The 22819-nt window shown below is 44.0% G+C and overlaps 1 protein-coding gene across 1 annotated transcript in view; it reads left to right on the top strand.

The window, feature by feature from the left end:
- Positions 1 to 22819, top strand: part of CACNA2D3 (calcium voltage-gated channel auxiliary subunit alpha2delta 3) — a 952006-nt gene that overhangs the window by 422752 nt on the left and 506435 nt on the right. The window contains exon 6 of the mRNA NM_018398.3: positions 17497 to 17628. Coding sequence (NP_060868.2) covers positions 17497 to 17628 — 132 coding nt within the window. The remainder of the gene's footprint in view (positions 1 to 17496; positions 17629 to 22819) is intronic.

Genomic DNA, 22819 nt, shown 5'->3' on the forward strand with positions numbered 1-22819 from the left:
GTTCTGTCCTTGAAGATACTTGGAGCTTAACTTCCATTTCTGAAGGCCTGTCCTTGTCATATATCATTTTTGTAGCAGCTGGCTTGTTCCACTCTTGGTGTACTTCCTGTTAAATATGTATGGCTTGCTTGGTTTTATTTTAGTAGCAGTAACATTTTCCCCTTTTTCATTGTTATTTGCAGCATGTAATCTGCTGGACTTGCAACATTATTTCCCACGAAGCACTTCTTTCTTTTTTTTCTTTACATCCCAAGAGATCTGTGTCTTGCATTAAACTTTCCTTGCTGGTGACTGATACAGTTCCTTTTATCTGCCATGCAGTTTTAGAATGCCAACAAATTTCTTGTACAACAATATGGTATGGAAGTGCTTCACTTGGGGAATGATCCTGACCAATTTAAATCCCTTAACTGAATTAGTGACTTGGTTAAATCCTAGGTTCCTTGGGTTGTATGACCTCTGAGATGACTCTGTGGGTGTTTGTGACAATACTGGAAACTTGGAAGAGATGTTTATGTTTGGTGACCTTATCTTCTTCTTCCCTGTGGTCTTTATTCTGGCACCTTGAATTTCGTTCAGGAACCCATCTTTCAGGACTGCTGGGCTTGCATTCAGATCCAAGGCTTAATAGGTTTAAGCAGGTTGGCATGCTCCATCACCCTCCTGTGCTGACTAGTTGAGGGATGGGCATACAATGGTCACCGTCCATGCAGTCAGAAGACATCTGAAGATCCCCTATTCTGCCTCGGTAGGGTTAGGAAAAGATGTGATGACTGTAAGTGCTATGGCAATTTTGTGGCCCTATAAGGGGAAAGGCTGGAACTACCGGACAACAGGGGTCGGGGGAAGGGCCTGGATGTGTGAAAGGAAGAACCTGAGCATGGAGGCAGCCCTGCAGGATGCAGAAAAGAAATAAAGACAGAAACCAGGTCACTGGTGAAGCCACGGGCAATGTCTGGATCATTTTCTCCACAAAACCATTTTTACCCCTCATTTTTGTAGTTCCTTGGGCTAATATTTTGAAAGGTATTTTGAGTAGGTGTGTTTGGTTCCTTATATTGGGAAGACACCTAACTTGAAGAAGTAGAGAGCACTGACATAATTACAGTAGAAATGCTTAAGTAGCCTCTACCTAAGCAACTTAGTAGATTAATTAATGTTCTTCCTTTCTTCTTCCATTGATAAAACACTTTGGAGGGCTGGTGTCTAGAGCATGCAGAATGCCCGCAGCTGGTAAACCTCCCCCAAGACTCAAAAGGTCATGATCCTGCATGTGAAGGCTGGCTAATTATTAAAAGAAGGTGTTTAATGTTTTTTGAAAATGACTCCTTGCTATAATCTTTTTTGGTTAACCAACCAACTGCGTATCATGATTACACCAGAGATCAACACATGCACACACACACGCGCGCACACACACACACACACAGACGGTCAACCAGTTCCATTCTTTATGGAGTGGAGTGAATTATAAATGGAAGGCCCATTCATCTTGGTTTGCTCAGAATAAGCCTAATTTGTACTCTTTGTTTCTGTGTTAATTAAAAGACTCCCATTTCTTCTCAAAAGTGGTCCAGTTTGGATGATCAAACATTTAGTCATCCTGGTTATAAGTAGTTTAATAGAGTTAAATTTGTACTCTTTTATTATTTTTAATGAACCATTTATATGACAAGAGGAGGGGATCTTCAGGCACTTGTCCGTGCCACTCAGGAGTTAGCAGTTAGTATATAGGAGCTACAGAGGTCCATAAGCTGAGTCATTTGGTCTCATTTAATTTGGCTTCACTGCTGTTGTTCAACAAGCCAAAGAAATAGTTGATAAAGGAATTTATAGGGTGAATGAGGTCCAGCGCAAAGATGGCTGGAGTCCTTGTTAATAGTTCTTGGCTAACATTACTGGAAGTTGGCATAATTCCTAGCGTGTATCATACCCTTTGGAAGCAGTTTAAACTTCCAGTGGTATAGTTCAGGGAGGTTTACAACCTGTAGATCTTTGCATGAAATTGGGCATGTACTTACAATGTTCTAGCCATGAGAACCCAGGCCCCTGGCACCATGTCCATCAAAACCACCTCAGCACAAAATTGGCTCCCTCCCTGGAACTCTGGGAGGGGCCAGATCTCTTGTGAGATTTGCTCACAGATGATATTGCCCACTTCTTGGAACATCTTTCTGAACTTTCTCAGGCCAATTTCTGACTCCTGCTTACACTCTCCCGTGGGTAGAGAGCTAGAAATGCCCTTTGTTACGTGGCCACATCTACAGTTTTATGTTTTGGGGGCTGAATGGATTCAGCAGTTTGTCAGTTGCAGAGCAGGAAGACATAGAGGATTTATTTATATTTTAAAGAAGAACCTCCCCCAACCCTTTTTTTTTTTTTTTTTTTTTTTTTTAAGAGAGACAGGGTCTTGCCTTTCTGCCCAGACTGAAGTGTAGTGGCACAAGCATGGCTCACTGCAACCTCAAACTCCTGGGCTCAAGCAGTCCTCCCACCTCAGCCTCCCTAGTAGCTAGGACTACAGGGATCCACCACTGCAGCCAGCTAGTTTTCTAAACAATAATAATAAATGCAGACATGGAGTCTTGCTATATTACGCAGGCTGGTCTCAAACTCCTGGCCTCAAATGATCCTCCTGCCTTGACCTTCCAAAGCACTCGGATTACAGGCATGAGCCACTGCACCCAGCCTAAAACCTCATTTTCTTTATACAAGTGATGTGTTCACATGACACCTGCCACTCCACACATTGTTCTGGACAGTGTTAAGGCTTTGGTGTGGAGTGACTGAGGAGGGGAACTGGGAGGAGCTGAGAAGCTTTGCTGCTCTGAGCTATGGGAACTGTATTTCCCCAGTCCCAGCAGGTCATGGGCCACACTCAGGACATCTCCAGTCCTGCCCAACACCTGTGTGATTACTTTAAGCTTTTCTCTAAATGACTTACTCTTTATTTTCATCTAAATAAATGTAGCCACATTAGGAGCAAGGGATTTTGAGAATTAAGAGTTAGATGTGTTGGTTAAAATTTCTCCAACATCATGAAATACATAACTGCTAAAATCTTTAAAAGGTTGTGTTCTACCTGAAATCACTGACATAGGAGGGAGGAGCCTTTTTCCACCCATGGTTCAAGCAAGAGATCAAGATTTCTTTATTCTACTACCCCATTGGCTATTTGAAGCTCAGACCTCTAGCAGCAGTTCCTTTCCTAGGCATTTAAAAACAAATTAAGGGGCAGATGCTCCCATTACCAGACCTGGCCATTCTGATCCCCAAACCCAGTACGTTCAGTAGACACCACCTTCTTCCTCACCCCACCTCTTCCAGTTACAAAAACCAAGGCTCCCCAGCGTTTCAAAGGATGACAGGGGATCCTGATCCAGGGACCGTCTCCATTACTACTACCACTACCACCATGGTGCCTGTTAAACCAATGACAGCAGACCTGTGGGCAGGACTTGCAAGTGCATCATGGCACAAAGGCATTCCTTTACCCTCCTCAAGGCCGACTTCAAATTCCCACTGTGTTGGACGTGGCCCTGCAGTGGTCCATCTTCTCTTCTTCCTCACTCAGAGCTGACCTCTCCTCCTAATTCATCTGGTGTTCCTCATCCCAATACAGGTTTTCAGGCTGGTGACGCTGTGACAGATGTTAAAAGCAGCACGTAATGCAAATTCCAGCTATACCTCAGTAAAGCTGTTTAAGAAACAAAGCAAATTCCTTTTCCCTGTCCCCTTGGCTCCCCATCCAGACCTCTCTTAGAAGCAGGCTCATGGTTGCATATTGTCTCTCCAATATAAATCTCATATTAGAGGCAGGAGAGTCAGCACTTGGCCTTTTGCTGTTAAAAACAAACAACAGGCCAGGCATGGTGGCTCCCGCCTGTAATCCCAGCACTTTGGGAGACCGAGGCGGGCGGATCACGAGGTCGGGAGATCGAGACCATCCTGGCTAACACGGTGAAACCCCGTCTCTACTAAAAATACAAAAAATTAGCCGAATGTGGTGGCAGACGCCTGTAGTCCCAGCTACTCTGGAGGCTGAGGCAGGAGAATGGCGTGAACCCAGGAGGCGGAACTTGCAGTGAGCCGAGATCGTGCCACTGCAGTCTGGCCTGGGCGAAAGAGCGAGACTCCGTCTCAAAAACAAAAAAAACAACAAACAAACAAAAAAACAAACAACAAACCTGAACTTGCCCCCGTTCCCTTTTTCAAATGTCCATAATCCCCTGATCTCCCTGCGTGCCGTGTCTGGGCCCACGGAAGCCGTGACTGTGTAGTGACGTGTGATGCTGCTCCCCATTCCTTTCCCACAGCCCTCTGCTGCCCACATGCCCCCAGCTGCAGCCCCCGCCTTTCTTTGTCCAGTCTGCGGCTTCTATGTCTTTGCTCCAGCAGTATCCGTGACAGCTCCTTAATTGCTACACGCATTTGTACAGTTCCTTGGCAATTATATTTCAGACCCTGTCAGGGTACCTGCTAGCCTCGGGGCTGTGTTTATATTAAATATCAATAAAAAGCTGATAGCATCAGCCCAGATGGCAGGCTCACAAAATCATATTTTACTGGGAGCCAGGCCTGTCTGGAAGATGGAAGGAAGGAATGTTTAAATTTCTTTCTCTCTTCCGAAAGGTTAAAATGAGAAGAGACTTCCCTGAGTGAATATCAGGAATCGGTTCTTGCTAAATGATGACAGCTGTGTACTCTCTAACTGGGTGTTGTCCTTTATTGTAAATGACTTGTCATCTATCAGTTCTTTCCAGAATTGTTTCTTTTGTCCCCCCGCCCCCACAGAGCATAGGACAAGGCTTCAAATCCCATAGGTATTTTTTAAATTCTGGTTGACGGAATGGCTAAGAGTTTATTTGGCTTTACTTTATGAGGAGGGCTTAGGACAAACGCCAAGGGTTAAGTGGCCCTGAGCCCACCCCATCCTGCATCGCCCGTCCCCTGCATCCCCTCTGCTGAGGGGGCCATGAGAGAGGAACCCACGTTACTCACTGGCTGTGTGGTGTTTCCTTGCTGGGCCTCGGTTCCCTCATCCTCCAGAAATAGCCTGGGCCTTCCCCGGAGCTGTGAGCGTGATGGAGTGCGAGGGGGCCGAGCAGCTGGCACCGCGTGGCGCAGTGGCTCCCGCCAAGAAAGCACCCCCTGGAGGTTTCACACCCCCAAATGTGGGCGGTCAAGGATACCACTTCCCTATGGTTTCCACTCTTTCATGCTGCTGATGATACAGTTCTGTCTATTGGAGACAGACGGGAAGAATGGCTTGAAGGGATTGCATTTTGAGGACAGTTTCAACAGGGAAATCAGTTTTAGTCTGCAAATCTATGACAAGACAGCTTTTTGGGGACACGTTTCCCTGTTGCAGTCAACAGAATTTCCCATTTACGTGTGATCTAAGGGGCATGCCCCTCCCCTTGGCTCATTTCCCCGTGGTATAGTGATTCTGCAGCATGGTTGTCCTGGCTTCCTGCTGTGGGGGATTCCCCACATGGATGCTGGGACAGTGCAGAAGAGAGCTTCAACAGCTGGCACAGCACCTGCCTTCAGTGCAAAACCTCGACCAACACGTGTTTGCAAGCACATCCTCTCTGTGTCCCACTGGCTTCTCTCCCTCTGCCACCCTTGTACAGGTGCCCTCATGTATCCCATGGATGACTGCAGGAGCCTCTAAACACTCCCCTCCACCCTTCCAGCGCCACTCACCTGCCACCACTTGGTTGCTCTCTCAATGGCAAAGGAGGAATCCACTCCTCTTGAGATTGAGGACAGACTGCAGACCCAGGTCTGCAAAGCCCTACTTGGTTCCCCCTGTCCCCATTTCTCACCCCAGCCTCCTTTTTATTTCCTGCATTCCAGGCACTTAGACTTCTTTTGGCTCTGCCAGGACCACTCTACAACCTGCCCACCCCATGCCTCTGCGTTCTGCAGATTCCATTTTACCCCAATGAGCTGTGCACTCCACTAGGTCAAAGGCCGTGTCTGGTTTTGCCCACTGTTTTGTCTCCAAATCCTAGCAGGTGCCTGGCACACAGTGGGCATTCAGTAAATATTTTCTGAATGAATGAATAAATAAATGCATACTATATCCAGTATAGGTGCTAAATGCTTTGGGGATATTAGAAAATATGACATGATTTAATACCCTTTGGGTGGGTTGTTCAATAGTTGTAAGAGTTAACGTAAAGGGAACAATCAGACGATGTAAAAGAGAAAGCCTCAGTGAGCTTGACCAGTGCAGATTTGGGTGTATGTTGGGAGCTGGAGGGAAAGTGGATTTGTTTCCAAAAGGGGTCCTGGGCCAGATCAGAATGGTGTGAAGCCTCAGGCAGTGGGATTAATCTCTCTGTGATGAGTTTTCAAAAACTACTGATGCTTCTGGAACAGCGTGGGTGCTCTGGCCGTCGTGTTCAGCACAGATTTTCAAGCAAAATGCTTGAGTTCCAAAGAGCTGCTGTGACAGTTTTGCAACACTGGCATTGTTCTAGTATTTGCTGGTGGGAAAAGAGGGATTCTGTGCTCACCCCATTTCTGAACCTTTCCAAAATGAGCCTTATGTCCTTTCCAGCCAGAGCCAAAAGGAAGGAGTGGGTTCCTCAGCATTTTGTTAGAATGGAAAGGTGACTTAGTGATGGCGAAGTATCATGTATCAAAAGAGGTGTTTTAAATTAGTGAATATTAGCTTAACTACAGCCAATCAAATGCCATTTTAGAATCAGAAGCCTCTTGGAATGTGCCTAAGTTCACTCTACAGTATTTTAGCCATGATTTTATGCCTTGTAAATGTCCCCTCTACCAGCATACCTCAAGTCCAAATGCTGATAGTGATGCAGTAGCCTCACTGGCCTGCTTTGCAGCAGAGAACCTGGGCTGGATGCATCTAGGAACTCTCGGAGGGGGACTCCAAATTGGTACCCAGTACTACTCTATCTTCATCCATCCTGCCCTCTTTAATGTACGCGTATATCCTGAGTATTAAGTACTAAGATGTCCTGTCAGGGCCCCAGGAAAGCCTGAGGGAGCCCCCTCTTCTAGGTGTCACCTAATTATTTGATGATGGCTAGGAGCTGGCAGCCTCCTCTGAGCCACGTGTTACCCTGGTCCGTGGACTGCGCCTTCCCTGCCATTGCTTTCTCCCACCCCCTGTGTACTGTCTGGTAGCCAGTAAATAGAGTTCAAGTCCTCTGTTATCTAGGAGTTTTTACAGGAACTTAGCAAACTTCCGCTTTGAGCAAGGTAATGTACTATAGCAATGGACTTCAAAGCTTTGGGGATAGATTTCCTCATCTGTAAAATGTGGCTAGGAAAAGTAGTTCATGACTACCTGGAAAGGGCCACACATAGTGTGTGGCACATTGTAAGTGCCCCCTAAGTGGCCATCTCTGCCGCTATCATCATCAGCATCATCATGATTTCTGTGATACAATTTTCTTCTTAATGTCTCTAAAGGAGACTTGTGAATGGTTTATTCCAGGAGAATGAGGAAGAGGAAATGCAAGTCTCTCCACAAAATTTAAAATATATGAAGGGAGAAAGACTATTTAAAATTGATATATTTATGGCAAAAGAAAATTCTAATCATTCACCTGAATTCTAATTAGAATTCTAATTCACATGAATTCTAATCATTCACCAGGGAATGAAGCCTGAAGTGTAGCATACCAAGGCAACAGGCTGAGGGAGACTAGAGCATTCTCTGGAATTTGCCAAGCCATTTGCTTCCCAGCTCCATCCGGAGTGGTTCAACATTGGGCCATGAATCCTCCTTGTCCCTCTGGTCCCAGGGCTGCCAGAAAATGGCTCCAGCTTTGTGAAAAGCAACCTGCATTTCATGTCTAGCATATCACTAAGTTTAGAGGAAGGGTAAATGTTTGGCAAATAAACCTATTGTATAATTCAGCACACATTAAGGACTATTTTCCAATAGATATAAGTGCTTGATAATTAGCATCAAAACTGTTCATTATTTAATCTATGATCTACTTAGAATGAATGGGAGAGATGTCATTTACTTGCTGAAATGGGAGACATGAAAACTATCCAACCATTCTCGTCTTGAATTTGGTCCAACACACGGCACAGAAGAAAACTCCTGCGTGGGCTCAATCCCCAGGCTCCCCTGCCTGCTATAATTTCATAGCCGAGAGGTGCACAGCTTTGAAGACATTTAGGAAAGACAGAGATCCTTTCTCCAGCCTTGTTTAAGGCAGGCATCTGCACAGGGGCCACACTTTAAAAATCCTGTTGATTCTGAGCTGAGTCCCTTCCCTTCCATCAGTGGTTTTTGGGTAAATGTAGTTTGTCTCTAATTCTGTGTTAGCTTATAATTGTTCTTCTTCATTCAGATTCCCTAGAAGCTGACCCATTTTTTGTGGTAGAAAATGGCAAGTTTAAATTAATACAGTTCTGCTAATTCGGTGGAGAATAAATGGTATTGGGGAAAAAAATCAAGTGTGTATCAGATGACTGAGGTCTGGAGTGGAAACTCAAGCACTAAGGCATCCATGAAGTTTCTGATTGCCTGTCCTGGGAAGAGGAAGTAGGCCATGCTCGCTACAGATTTTGGAAAATAAATTTGATTTTGGAGCCATGCAGAAAGGCATGATGGACCTTGGCATGGGTGGAATACAGATTATGTCTGCTACAAAATGCATTGTTGGCAGGAAACTTGCCTATCTGCTAAAATCCTTGCCACGACCTCCCCACCTCTCCAGCCTCATCTAGTACCTCTCGCCAAGACACCAGATTCTTCCCAAGTCAGGGTTTTTGATCTTGCTTATTCACTCTGTGTACAAAGCTCTTGCTAGCGTAGGCATTTGGGAGCTGGTGCCATCTCAGCATTCAGGTCATCTATATGACCTCTGGGAGGGTCATCTTTGACCACCCAATTTGGGTAAACCCCCTCCCCACTTTCCACAGACAGTAACTCTCTGGCTTATCCCAGTTTATTTTCATTACACCTATTTCTACTTGAAATTCTCATTTATTTGCCATTGTTTCTCTCCTCATACTGAAATGTCAACTTCATTGTCTGGCATAATGTTGAATGCCTGATACAGTAGGTACTCAATCAATATTTGTCGAGTAAACAAATGAATGAAAGCGTCATCACAGTACCTTGCCCTGATAATTTAAGGAAGAGAGAAAGAGACTTGCATAAAGTCTACCCTGGATAGTCTCAGGACAGCTGAACTGCTGCGGGTGGGGAGTTGGAGGCTTCCACTGTTCTGGGACTAGTGAATGGGCCCTGGTGGTGTATGCAGTCCTCCCACCACACAGCAAGTTCTTTGCCTTGTCTCAGCTACCTTTGAGGAAGAGCCGCTCTCATCTGGCTTCTACAGATGAAGGCACTGGGGCTGAGGAACATTAAGTCCAGGTCCAAGGCCATCAGCTAACCAGTGGTAAGTGAGATCTCATACCTAGGACTCAAGCTTCAAGGCCAGAGTCCTGACTGCCGTGCTGCTGTTCAGGTGCTACCCAGCAACCCTGATGTGGAGAACATGGTGAAAGTTGGAAGCCCCTCTTGAGACTTTATTTATTTCTTTTCTTTTCTCTCTCACTCTCTTTTTTTTTTTTTTTTTTTTTGGAGACAAGGTCTCACTCTGTCACCCAGTCTGGAGTCCAGTAGTGCAATCTTGGCTCATCGCAGCCTTGACCTCCCAGTTTCAAGCAATCCTTTCACCTCGGCTTCTTGAGTAGCTGGGATTACAGGAGCACACCACCCCGCCTATCTACTGTTTTGTATTTTCTGTAGAGATGGAGTTTCGCCATGTTGGCCAGACTGGTCTCAAACTCCTGAGCTCAAGTAATCCACCCACCTTGACCTCCCAAAGTGTTGAGATTACAGGTGTGAGCCAGTGTGCCCAGCCAAGACCTTATTTATTTATTTTCTAATGAATGGAGTAAGTAACAGCCAGTATTTATGAAGCCTTTTGTATGTGCCAGTTGCTGTGCTAAGTGCTTTACATCCATTAATTTGCTTGGATCTATGTGGGCTGACCATCTCAGGCACTGCTCAGGATGGAACATGTAACTAAAATACAGTCATAAGAGGGAGTACCTTATTCAAAGATGCAAAACTAATCTGGAAAGGTATGCAAGGGTGTATAGGAGTGTGCAGAGAGAGAAGACCCTATGTAGCATGTGCACACCACAAGCCAGAGCAGTTATCTGGGTGAAAATGAAAAAAGAAAACTACAAAAGGAATTTGCTGCTAGGTTATAGGATGCATTACAAAGACAGATCAGGGTTGTGGGAGGCGCTCTTCACATACAAATTGTAAATTTATCACAAAGGTTGTGTGGGACTCTTACTCCCCAAACATCTGCTACTAGTCTGTTTTACTAAAAGCTGAACATCTGATAGATTCTTGACTGGCACTGGGGGTAATTTCATGTCTCGGAAGGTAGAGGAAACAGAACTGCTATTCCTGGATTACACATTGACCAATATGAATAATAAGTTAATGTGGATTGGATAGGAATATTGGAGAAAATGACCATGCTATCCTGGAATTCACTTTATTGAGCAGAGTTCTGGGCATTGATACATACACTTGACATTCAGCAAAGTGATTTTAATCCAACTTAGTGCATTACAGGTAGGACCCATTGACAGAGGTCAGGAAGAATGGTTAGCTTAGGAAAATATAACATGAACATGAAAATCTGAATTGTTCCCATAAAGAAGAAAAGAGTGAAGGCCTTGAAACATCCTTCACTAGGTAGAAGCCCTGCTCTTATTAAACTCAGATTTTTAAAAGAATACATACAAACCATGAGATATGGGTATGTTGTGTAGGATAATTCAGAGAACATTGAACATTGGTCCCAAAAAAGTATGTTCACGTTCTGATCTCCAGTACCTGCAAATGTGGTTTTATTTGAATATAGGGTCTTTGCAGGCATAATTAATTTAAGGATCTTGAGATGAGATCGTCCCAAATTTAGGGTGGTGCCTAAACCCAATGACCAGTCCTTCTGAGACAAAGGAGAGAGAGAGATTTGACACAGAGACACACAGAAGGGAAGGCCATTTGAAGATGGAGGTGGAGATGGAAATAATGAGGCTACAAGCCAAGAAGTATCAAGGACGGCAGGCGAGCACCAGAGATTAAGAGACGGGCATGGAACACACTCTCTTAGAACCTCCAGAAGGAAGCAACCCTGCTGGCAGCTTGATTTTTAACTGTTTATATCCTGAATTGTGAGGGAATAAATCTCTGTTGTCTTTAAGCCATCCAGTTTGCAGTATTTTGCCACAGCTGCTACAGAAAGCTAATTCAGTACCTTAAACCTCTAAAAAGATGAGAGGTGGAGGTACAAGTCAAGGCTCAGATAAATCTGAGGCCTAAAGAACCGCAAGTAAAGCAAAGGGGTCTTTTAAACAGAATTTGAAACAGAACACAAACAAGGAAAATGGTTTGCCTGCTACTCAGCAGGTTGCTGTCATTTTCACAAGTGACCATAAGAAAACAAATCAGCTCAGCCACCATGGAGGGAACATGAGGCTGAGCTCTGATCCACACCCCAGCATGACGTTTGCCTGCTCCCCATGGGACAGTGGAAGGGCCAGGGGACCTGGGTATATGTGGGGCATGGACAGCATTTACTGTCCCGTGGGTTACTTCATTTCCACTTTCTGTCAGTGATGTTGGGAAAATCATATTTAACTGTTTTTTTTTAACGTAAATACTTAGATGAAAGCTCCATCTATTTTTTCTGTTTTTTCTTTTCCTATCTTTTAAATGACTGTAACAATAGACAGCTATTTAAGATTTCCCCTTCTATTAAAACTGCTTGCTAAGCAAGCTTGTGAAATCAATACACTGTGATTATGTTACAAGCCAAGATAAGTGTTATTTCAAATATTTGATCAAATGGGTGTGTACAACACAGCCCCCATTTTAGGTAGATTATATTTTTTTAGTGATTCTGTTTCCCCTTGTTCACCATGCCCTTGGAAAAATCGAAGCCCCCTCTTCTTGCAGAAGCATAATTTTAGAGCAAGATATGGTGTCCAAATGAAGTAAATGAAACATCCTCAGTTTGCTTTGTATTTCTGAAGATGTTCACAGTTCCTCAGGGGGCAATCTTAGATTTCTAGGACCACCTGGAGGTCTGGACACCAAAGAAACCACACTTAAGAAAAAAGAATTGTCAAAACTGGGCAAATCCCAGTTGTCACACTTAAGAAAAAATAATTGTCTAACTGTAAACTGTTTGACTCCTTAACATGTTGAGACAGTGAGCTAAGGAAATGGAATTTCGCTTCTTTTTGTGGAAGGTTTTTATGACGCCGACATAATTGAGCCCATTGTTGGAGGCAAGCACCATGGATTTTTCAGTGTCATTATTGTATTTGCATCTTTGTGGATTAATTTAAGCGGGTTTTGCCGCTAGGGGTGAGTCACAATAATCGTTATCAAGCTTGGACAGGAAAAAGAAAGAGATCCATTTTCCAGGATCGTGAGGATAAAGTCCTCCTAAAATTACTTTGTGGTGAAAGGCTGATTGGGTCATTTTCACACCCCCAGGCTATGATAGGGTTTATTACAGTTTACAAGAGTTAGAGCATTTACCCTTGAGATGGGATTCAGAATCCCAGTTACCTCAGTGATCTGAAGGAATAAGGCAGGGCAGAGGTGACACAACAAGCCAGTACACTGTGTCTGCCCACTGGCCCTGGAGCCATTCTGTGGACTCTAGAGCTGTGTAGGTGGATGTCCTGGGGCTGCCGCTGGAAAGGTGTAGACAGCTGTGGAGGAGAGGAGGTGCACTGGGGCCAATCCTGAGTGCCCTCGTAAGTGGACCTGACTTATGTGACCATTTCTAGCATTATGTTGCTCATTGTTTCCTCTGCAACTTGACGACTGGAGTAACCTCATCCGTCCTCACCCCTCCTGTCTGTATGGTATTGATGAATCTCTGGAATGAGGATGTCACAGTAGGGTTGCGTGACTTGGCATCCAGCAGGGATCTCTGGTGAGGGTACAGGGCTCTAGGCCAAGGGAACAGCCCCATCAATGGCAGTGTGAGTGCCTTTGGCCATTAGCTGTTTTCTGTTGATTTGTTTAACCTTCTAAACAGGTCTCTAGGGTGGGTATTTTTTTTTTCCTTTCCATCTTTTGTGTTAGGTTCAGGAGGTACATGTGCAGGTTTGTTATGTGGGTAAATTGCATGTCACATGTGTACAGATTATTTTATCACCCAGGTAATAAGCATAGTACCCAATTGGTAGTTTTTTGATCCTCACCCTCCTCCCACCCTCCACCCTCAAGTAGGCCCCAGTGTGTGTTGTTCCCTTCTTTGTGTCCGTGTGTACTCAGTGTTTAGCTCCCACTTATAAGTGAGAACATAGGCTGTTTAGTTTTCTGTTCCTCTGTTAATTCACTCAGGATAATGGCCTCTGGCTCCATCCATGTCACTGCAAAGGAGATAATCTCATTATTTTTTATGGCCGTGTATTATTCCATGGTGTGTGTGTATAGGTTGGGTATTATTATCCCCATTTTACAAATAAGGAAACCTCAGATCAGAGAGGCTTTGCCCCTTAGTAGTTGGATGCTTTTAGGAAAGTACCTCATATCCTGGTGCTATAGTTTCCACTGCTGTAGAATGGAGGAGAACAAGGGATCTAGCCTGCCTTGGAGGTCTGCTGAGGGGGGATAGGAGGTAAAGTAAGCACCACGCCTATACCCCGGGAAGGACCCAGTGAAAGTTTCTCCTCCTCCTCCTCTTCCTCATCATTAATAACTCATGTAGTCATTCTCAAACTTTTCATCCTGACACTTGACAGCTATTTCTCCTCTAAGAACGGAATGTTGCTTAATGTGGCATCATTTTGAAACAGGGTCTTCAGAGGTTAAAAAGAAAAAGTGAACCATCACAGAGCATCCTCAGTGACCCACATTGCTTCAGCCAGTGTACAGGAAATACTTGTTTATTCTCCTTCTTTGTCTTCACCCTTATTTTTTTTCCAACTTTTATTTTATTTTTATTTTTATTGTTGAGACTGAGGCTTGCTCTGTCACCCAGGCTGGAGTGCAGTGGCGCGATCTCGGCTCAACCTCCGCCTCCCAGGTTCAAGCTATTTTCCTGTCTCAGCCTCCCAAGTAGCTGGGACTACAGACGCCCGCCACCACGCCCAGCTAGTTTTTCTATTTTTAGTAGAGATGGGCTTTCACCATGTTGGCCAGGCTGTCCTCGAACTCCTGCCCTCAAGTGATCTGCCCACCTCGGCCTCCCAAAGTGCTGGGATTACAGGTGTGAGCCATCACGCCTGGCTTCAACTTTTATTTTTAACTTCAGGGGTACATGTGCAGGTTTGTTATATAGACACACTTGTGTCATGGGGGTTTGTCGTACAGATTATTTCATCACTTAGGTATTAAGCCTAGTACATATTAGTTATTTTTCCTAATCCCCTCCGTCCTCCAAACCTTCACCCTCTGAAAGGCCCCAGTGTGTGTTGTTCTCCTCTATGTGTCCATGTGTTCTCATCATTTAGCTCCCACTTAATAAGTGAGAACAAGCAGTATTTGGTTTTCTGTTCCTGTATTAGTTTTGCTAAGGATAATGGCCTGCAGTTCCATCCATGTTCCTGCAGAGGACATGGTCTTGTTCTTTTTTATGGCTGCATAGTATTTCATGGTGTATATGTGCCACATTTTCTTATCATTGATGGACATTTAAGTTGATTCCATGTCTTTACTGTTGTGAGTAGTGCAGCACTGAACATATGCATGGGTGTATCTTTATAATAGACTGATTTATACTCCTTTGAGTATATGCCCAGTAATGGGATTGCTGAGTCTAATGGTATTTCTGTCTTTAGGTCTTTGAGGAATCGCTACACTGTCTTCCACAATGGTTGAACTAATTTACACCCCCACCAACAGTGTAAAAGTGTTCCTTTTTCTCCACAACCTCACCAGCATCTGTTACTTTTTGACTTTTTAATAACAGCCATTCTGACTGGTATGAGACAGTATCTCATTGTGGTTTTGATTTGCATTTCTCTAATGATCAGTGATGTTGAGCTTTTTTAAATGTGATTGTTGGCTGCATGTATGCCTTCTTTTGAGAAGTGTCTGTTCATTTCCTTTGTCCACTTTTTAATAGGATTGTTTTTCTTGTAAATTTGTTTAAGTTCCTTATAGATGCTGGATATTAGACTTTTGTCAGATGCATAATTTGCAAAAATTTTCTCCTATTCTGTAGGTTGTCTGTTGACTCTGTTGGTGGTTTCTTTTGCAGAAGCTCTCTGGTTTAATTAGATCCCATTTGTCAATTTTTGCTTTTGTTGCAATTGCTTTTGGTGTCTTTGTCATGAAATATTTGCCTGTGCCTGTGTCCTGAATGGTATTGTCTAGGTTGTATTCCAGGGTTTTTATAGTTTTGGGTTTTACATTTATGTCTTTAAACCATCTTGTCTTAATTTTTGTATACAGTATAAGGAAGAGGTCCAGTTTTAATCTTCTACATATGGCTAGCCAGTTATTCCAGCATCATTTATTGAATAGGGAATCCTTTCCCCATTGCTTGTTTTTGTCAGGTTTGTCAAAGATAAGATAGTTGTAGGCATGCAGTCTTATTTCTTTCCTCTCTATTTGGTTCCATTGGTCTATGTATCTGTTCTCATACCAGTACCACTGCTGTTTTGGTTACTGTAGCCCTGTAGTATAGTTTGAAGTCAGATACTGTGATGCCTCTAGCTTTATTCATTTTGATTAGGGTTGCCTTGGCTATTCAGGCTCTTTTTTAGTTTCATATGAATTTAAAAATAGTTTTTCTAGTTCTGTGAAGAATCTCAACGGTAATTTATTAGGATTAGCATTCAATCTATGAATTGCTTTGGGCAGTATGACCATTTTAACAATATTGATTCTTCTTATCCATGAGCATGGGATGTCTTACATTTGTTTGTGTCATCTCTTATTGCTTGGAGCAGTGGTTTGTAGTTCTCCTTGTAGAGATCTTTCACCTCCCTAGTTAGCTATATTTCTAGGTACTTTATTCTTTTTGTGGCAGTTGTGAATGGGAGTTCATTCATGATTTGGCTTTCAGCTTCACTGTCGTTAGTGTATAGGAATGCTAGTGATATTTTGCACATTGATGTTGTATCCTCAGACTTTGCTGAAATCGTTTATGAGCTTAAGAAGCTTTTGGGCTGGGACTGTGGGGTTTTCCAGGTATAGGATCATGTCATCTGTAAACAGGGATAGTTTGACTTCCTTTCTTCCTATTTGAATGCCCTTTATTTCTTTCTCTTGCCTGATTGCCCTGGCCAGGAATTCCAATATTGTGTTGAATAGGAATTCACCCTTATTTTTTTAAATCACTGCACTGAAGGCAAGGAGTTGTCTTTGGGCTACCATAGGTGAGGAAAAGAGATTTGCTCATGGGATTCCATGGCAGAAGAGCAAATGATTGCCTGGTATCTGGAGAACAACCTTTGTGTTATCCATCTGTATTGGCCTGTTCCCATGCTGGTAATAAAGACATACCTGAGATTGGATAATTTATAAAGGAAAGAGGTTTAACTGACTCACAGTTCCACATGGCTGGGGAGGCCTCACAGTCATGGCAGAAGGCAAAGGAGGAGCAAAGGCACATCTTACATGGTAACATGCAAGAGAGCATATGTAGGGGAGTGCCCCTTTATAAAAAGTCTCAGGTCTCGTGAGACTTATTCGCTATCATAAGAACAGCACAGGAAAGACCTGCCCCACCCCCATGATTCAATTATCTCCTACCAGGTCCCTCCCACAACACATGGGAATTATGGGAGCTGCAATTCAAGATGAGATTTGGGTGGGGACATAGCCAAATCATACCACCATCCATCCATCCTTCCCTCTGTTCCTCTACAAGAGTTTTGGAGCTTCTGCCATGTGCTGGTCAAAGGGTACAGCAGAAGACCAAGAGGCAGTCTGTGCTTTCACAGAGATCACATTCTGCTGAACAGAAGAAGTAGAGAGATTTAGTTATGTAATTTCAATTTATTTATTTTTTTAAGAAAAGCAAACTTCTAATCAGGGACAAGAGAAATGGAATAGGGCTGTGTTGGTGGCTGAGGTGATTACAGTGAGAGAAAATACAGTTTTCCTATTTTTAATGCCGAGTTTTGGCTCCGTAGGGGGAAAAGCAGGAAAATAATGCTAATAAGGTCTCTCTCTGCTTTCTTAAAGAGGATTATGTGATTTTCTCTATGGGATATGTGATATTGAAAGGTACAAATAAAAGGAAGTGTCTTTCAAGTAAGGAACCATCAGTAGAGGCTCCTGGGAGACTAGGAGGGCTCAGGCAGGAGGGGAATCCCCAGCATCTGGACACCCCAGGAGCTAAACGTTTTTGTGGCTATAACTTCCTTCATAGCCTCCTGCAAGATGGAGTACCTTGTGCCAGTATCTGCCAAGCAGCGTGGGATGCCAGGAATTTTATTTCACTTTGGTTTCTAATACACCCCTCTCTCTCTCTTTCTTTTTTACAGACCCTGCAATTGTCAATGGGGTTTATTGGTCTGAATCTCTAAACAAAGTTTTTGTAGATAACTTTGACCGTGACCCATCTCTCATATGGCAGTACTTTGGAAGTGCAAAGGGCTTTTTTAGGCAGTATCCGGGTGAGTATACCTGCATTGACAGTTATGACTCAGATTAATGATAACTGATAATGTGGTATTTTTCTTTAGGGTTCAAGGTTAAAACTTTTCTGCCTTTTCTTAGAAGAAAATGAAAGATGAATTCCAAACCTATTGTCAGGGTGCAGGACAGGAATGGCAAGGTGGCATCCAGATGGGCACGCACACACACAGGACATGATCACAGGAATTCTCTGGACCTGCCCTGTTCTCAATAGAATAATTCACAGAGCTGTCACCAAATGTGAAGAACTGTAGTGTGAACTGTACCTTATTTAATACTTCTGAACAAGAGTTTGGCCTTATTACCAATACTGCTGCTGTTATTGCTATAATTATTATTATTGGGGAAAAGAGCATACTTGGGCAATTAAATTCTCACTAACAGGTATAAGAAATAGAGAATTTGAACCGGATTTGTCCACCCAAGAGCTGACTCCCCTTGCAGGAAGATGTTGAAATGGCCCAGGCGTCGCTGACGGCAAGAACCCCTCCACAGAGGGTGCTCCCAGCACCCTAGCACCCCCAGTACTCCCAGCGGTGCGTATCTCAGAGGCTGTCCATCATGCCTTTGGAACAGGTGTTCCTTCTGGAGCCTTCCCAGGCCTCTGCTTTGTGATAGGATTTTAATTCTGGCTTGGTTTGAATTTTAATTAAAAAGGGAAGTTTTAATTTTGCTTACAAGTTGTGAAAACAGGACTCGGGGCTGCAACTGTGCCAACATCACAGCTGTAGAAATTAACAAGCTCAACCTAAAAGAAGGGGGAGAAAAACCCCACCCTGCATAATCTTGGAGCAATTAAGTGAAGTCTTTCATGTTTTCATTAAGTAAGACTAGGCACCTGATGCCTTCCCACTTTGAGGCACAGACTGCCGGCCTCTGCCTTGCGGAGCTGTTTGCCCCGCGCACAGCATCTGACCCTCGAGAATTGCCTGCTGGGTCTCTGCTTTGCCAGATTACAGAACATTTCCCAAGAGTCATGTTCAGCATGGCACACGTGCTTCCTCCCGGAGCTCACAGAAATGTAAACAATAAGCATCCTATTAAAGATAATGCCATAATAAACAGTGGACGATTAAAGTTCCAGTGCCACCAAATTGCAGTCTGCCTTGATACACTCAACAGAGAGCAAATCTGGTGCAGATATTGCTGAAATCAGAGCCTAGGGGAGAGGTTCCTCTGCTTGGGAAGCCCCTGGGTAGCCAACCGTCTCGCTATGCGGCACTGTGAAGAGGGCAAGACAGATAAGTAGAAACCGCAGATCACCTGTTGTCTCCTCCAACAGGGAGTCCTTAAACTATGGTCACGAGGACATTTGAAAATAAAGGGAATCCTCATAAAGGGTTTGTGTAATAGGGGAGATTAATTTACATACAAGGTTTTTATCAGTCAGAACAATTGGTTCAGCCATGCTTACTGTTCTTTTAGGACTTTTGGGCAGGATGTGGCTCTGTAAAATGCCTGCATAATTTCTGTGTTAGTAAAGACGTGGGCCGCAGTCCACCAAGGTGTTTCAATGCCTTGATAAATGTCATGTGGCCACTCAACTCTGTGCTTGGTTCTGAACACAGAGCATACCTCTTGCCTCCTGGACATGTGACTCAAAGAGTGATCATGAGCATTTTGCGAGGATGTTTTTCTTTTCAGGATGCCTCTTTCCATTGTTAGAGTGGTGTGAATCAGTGGCAAGTGTGCGTGTTCTTAAGCAGAAGGAGTCTTTCTTCAGTCTTACTGAGTTCTGGCTTTGTACCACTATATGAGGCCCTGAGGATAAAATCATGAACTAGACAAAAGAGGTCTCTGCCCTCATCCAGCTCCTTCTTGTGGGGACATGCATTTGTCGTGGATTTTGTTTGCAAGGGACAGAAACACAATTCCAGCTAGCTCCAGCAAGAAGCACACTTACTGGCTCATGTAATTTGAAATCTAGGGAGTGTGCCATTTGGGCGACAGCAATGAGAGACTGGAGCAAAGTCATTTGGAATTTGAATCCTTCCTTTCAGCTCTCATTTCTGCCTTCTTCCATTCTAACCTTGTCTCACTGGCAAGTGATCTCCTCGTAATGGGGAACAGGCCTGGCAGGATTTCTCAGTGGGGGTTCCAGGGGAGGAGACAGCATCTGTCCCAGTAGCTTGGATGAAAGTCCAAGAATTAGCCTGGTCTGAGTTGCTTGCCCACCACTGATGCCTGAAGAACTAGTGGGTAAGGTCAGCCATCCGAAACCCTGGGAACTAGTCAGGATTATTGTGGCTTTGCCTAGACTGCATCCCCAAAGGAGGGGGCATCAGTGACCACCATGGGGAGATAGACAGGCAAACATCATCATGGTACAGTGCGTTTCATGCTAAGCTGAGGGAAATAGAAGGTGCTGGGTGATCACTGAGAAGGATCACCAACTCCAACTCCTGGCGTGAGAGGAAAGAGTCCTGGGAAGGAGAATTTTGGTAAGCATTAGCCTGAAAGCCTTGGCGTGATGATGATGTCCATTTCTGCATGGCTTCACACATAGGCCTTCACCAGTTCAATTTATGTCCTAAGGGCATGTGGTAACTCTCTTGTGTCTCTCAAAAGGACTTTATGAGATGGTGGAAATGTTCTGTATCCTATCTAATATCACTAATGTCACTGGCCACACAGGGGTAGTGAGCACTTGAAGTGTGCTAGGTGAGGCTGAGGAACTGAAATTTAAATGTTATTTAACTTTATTTAAAATTAAAATTAAATGGCCACACGTGGTTAGTAGTCACCATGTTGAATAACATAATGCTGTAGGAAGAGACTTCTGTAGTCTGATACCCCGTTTCCAAGGGACCAGCCTTATCTTTCAGGGCTTGCATTGCAAAAAGGTCTTACTGAACAGATGACTTCATTAGGCTCTATAGTTCTTACTTTATAAAATGGGAACTCTACCCTGAAATCCTGAACCATCAGGCTTTCAACTCCTGTCTCCTCTACTATAATATTTGCCCCTGGGAGGAGTCATTTGTTTTGTCCATTACTCTGTCACTAGCTGCAAGAATAACACATAGTGGGTGCTCAATATGTGTTTGTTGAATGAATGAATCACCCATTAGATCAAACTCCACCAGATCTGTTGTCTCCCATCACACCAGTGGCAGCTGCCCTCTCTCTTCAGACAGAATAGAGCTATTGCCTCTTTGGGGGAGCTGGTCCCCAGCTGCACTCTGGTAGAGACTTGATGACTCAGCAAGGAGCTGGCATAAATGCAGTACAGAGCCATAGTCCCTTTATGTTCTCATTGATCCCTCTCCTCCAAGTCTTCCTAGTACCTGCCCTTTCCACCCCACTGCCCACCATGTCCTGGACACTGGGCATGCCCATCTGTTGGCTATTTCCTTCTGATGCTTTATGACCATCTCATCTAATGAGTAGTGTTCTCCAGGCTCCCCATCTCCCAGGAGGCAGAGGATCAAAGGGCTGCACAGTCATCCCTTTTCCTGTGAGGCTTGACCAGTTCATCTTTTTATAGCCCTCTGTGGGACCCGTTTTCTACCTGGTTATTGGCTGAGGCCACCAGTGACTGATCTATTCTTCCTGTTCTGGCCAATTCTTAGCTTTATTTAAAATGATGTGGCTGGCTGACAGTACCTACCCATGTACTCTTACCTACATAAAGAAAACTGTGTCTATACATCACAGACAGGTCACTGTCTAATCAAACACAGGACATCAGTTAGGTTCATGCATGATTATAAGAAGCCCTGGTCCCTTCCCCAACATCAGACTGTCACCTTTCTATAGCCGTACGCAGGGGAGTTTGTTCCTGTAGAAGGCTTGGTAATTACAAAGGTCAATGATTGTCTTATCCTTGCACTATGATTTGGCTGCCATAGGAAGGTGAAAGCTGGTTCATAGCTACAGCCACGATGAGGGAGCTGAACAGCTAAGTAAAGAGTTCTCCATAAGTTTGGACTCATACATGCTGTTTGCTAGTATCAAGTTCAGGTTCTGTGCACAGCATTACTTTTTGTTTCTTCCCTTCCATGCCTTCCTCACCAGGCTCAGGTTTAGCAATGGGGAGAGTATGATTGATATTAGGGTTTTCTTCCTTGGCTAGCTCAACAGGACTGCCCTAATAAAGATGATCATGGAACACCATAATTTATAATTTTCATAGCAACTGTCTTGCTATATCCTCATATTCATGGTGCGTAATCTCTCAGGAGATTGGCAAGAGAGATGGCATCTAGTTGAATAAAGGAGCTCTTTTTAGAGAAGTGCATAGGCAGCTTCTCAGAAGACATTTTACAGCCAAGTTTGACTGTAGCTTGACTCACATTAGAAGCCAGCATGTATTTTTGATCAGATATTTTAGATCTAAAGTTATCTGGAAGGTATGTGTTTAAACTTTAAATTATGGGCCAAGTACTAAATATTTTTTGAGGAAGGAATTGGGCAGAACTTAGGGATAAACCAATGTCTGCCACCCCTTGATTTTCCTTCTTTCCACATCTTTCTGGACTTTTTGCTTTCAAGTAGGGAAGACAAATGCCATGTTTCAGTAGGATAGGCAGTATCTGTTCAGGTGGAGGTGGTTTTTTGTTTGTTGTTTGTTGTTGTTGTTGTTCTCTGTTTGTTTTTTGAGAAGGAGTCTTACTCTGTCTCCCAGGCTGGAGTGCAGTGGTGCAATCTTGGCTCACTGCAACCTCTGCTGCCCAAGTTCAAGCAATTCTCCTGCCTCAACCTGCCAAGTAGCTGGGATTACAGGCGCCTGCCACCACACCTGGCTAATTGTTGCAGTTTTAGTAGAGATGGGGCTTCACCATTTTGGCCAGGCTGGTCTTTAACTCTTCACCTCATGATCCACCTTGGCCTCCCAAAGTGTTGGGATTACAGGCGTGAGCCACTGTGCCTGGCTGGAGATGGTTTGAATGTCATTGGCAGTGCCAGTGATGTTGTATGGAAAACACTGCGCTTTAAAGACAGGAGAAGGAATGGACGAAGATGCCCTTTCCTGAAGTGGAGAGAAAAGGAGAACATGGAGCAGAAATAAAACCACAGGGCAAAAAGATATTCAGATTTTTATTGTGCTATTTGTTGTAGTCCTTCATAGTTCCATTACACAGTCTCAGACCTCATTGCCACACAGAATTATGTTGGGAACATGTGGCTTGACCTTCAGTCTTGTATCAGTCTCTGTTCCTTTGGCCC

Source organism: Homo sapiens, chromosome 3 (genome assembly GCF_000001405.40).
Source record: "Homo sapiens chromosome 3, GRCh38.p14 Primary Assembly".
Lineage (NCBI taxonomy): Eukaryota > Metazoa > Chordata > Mammalia > Primates > Hominidae > Homo > Homo sapiens.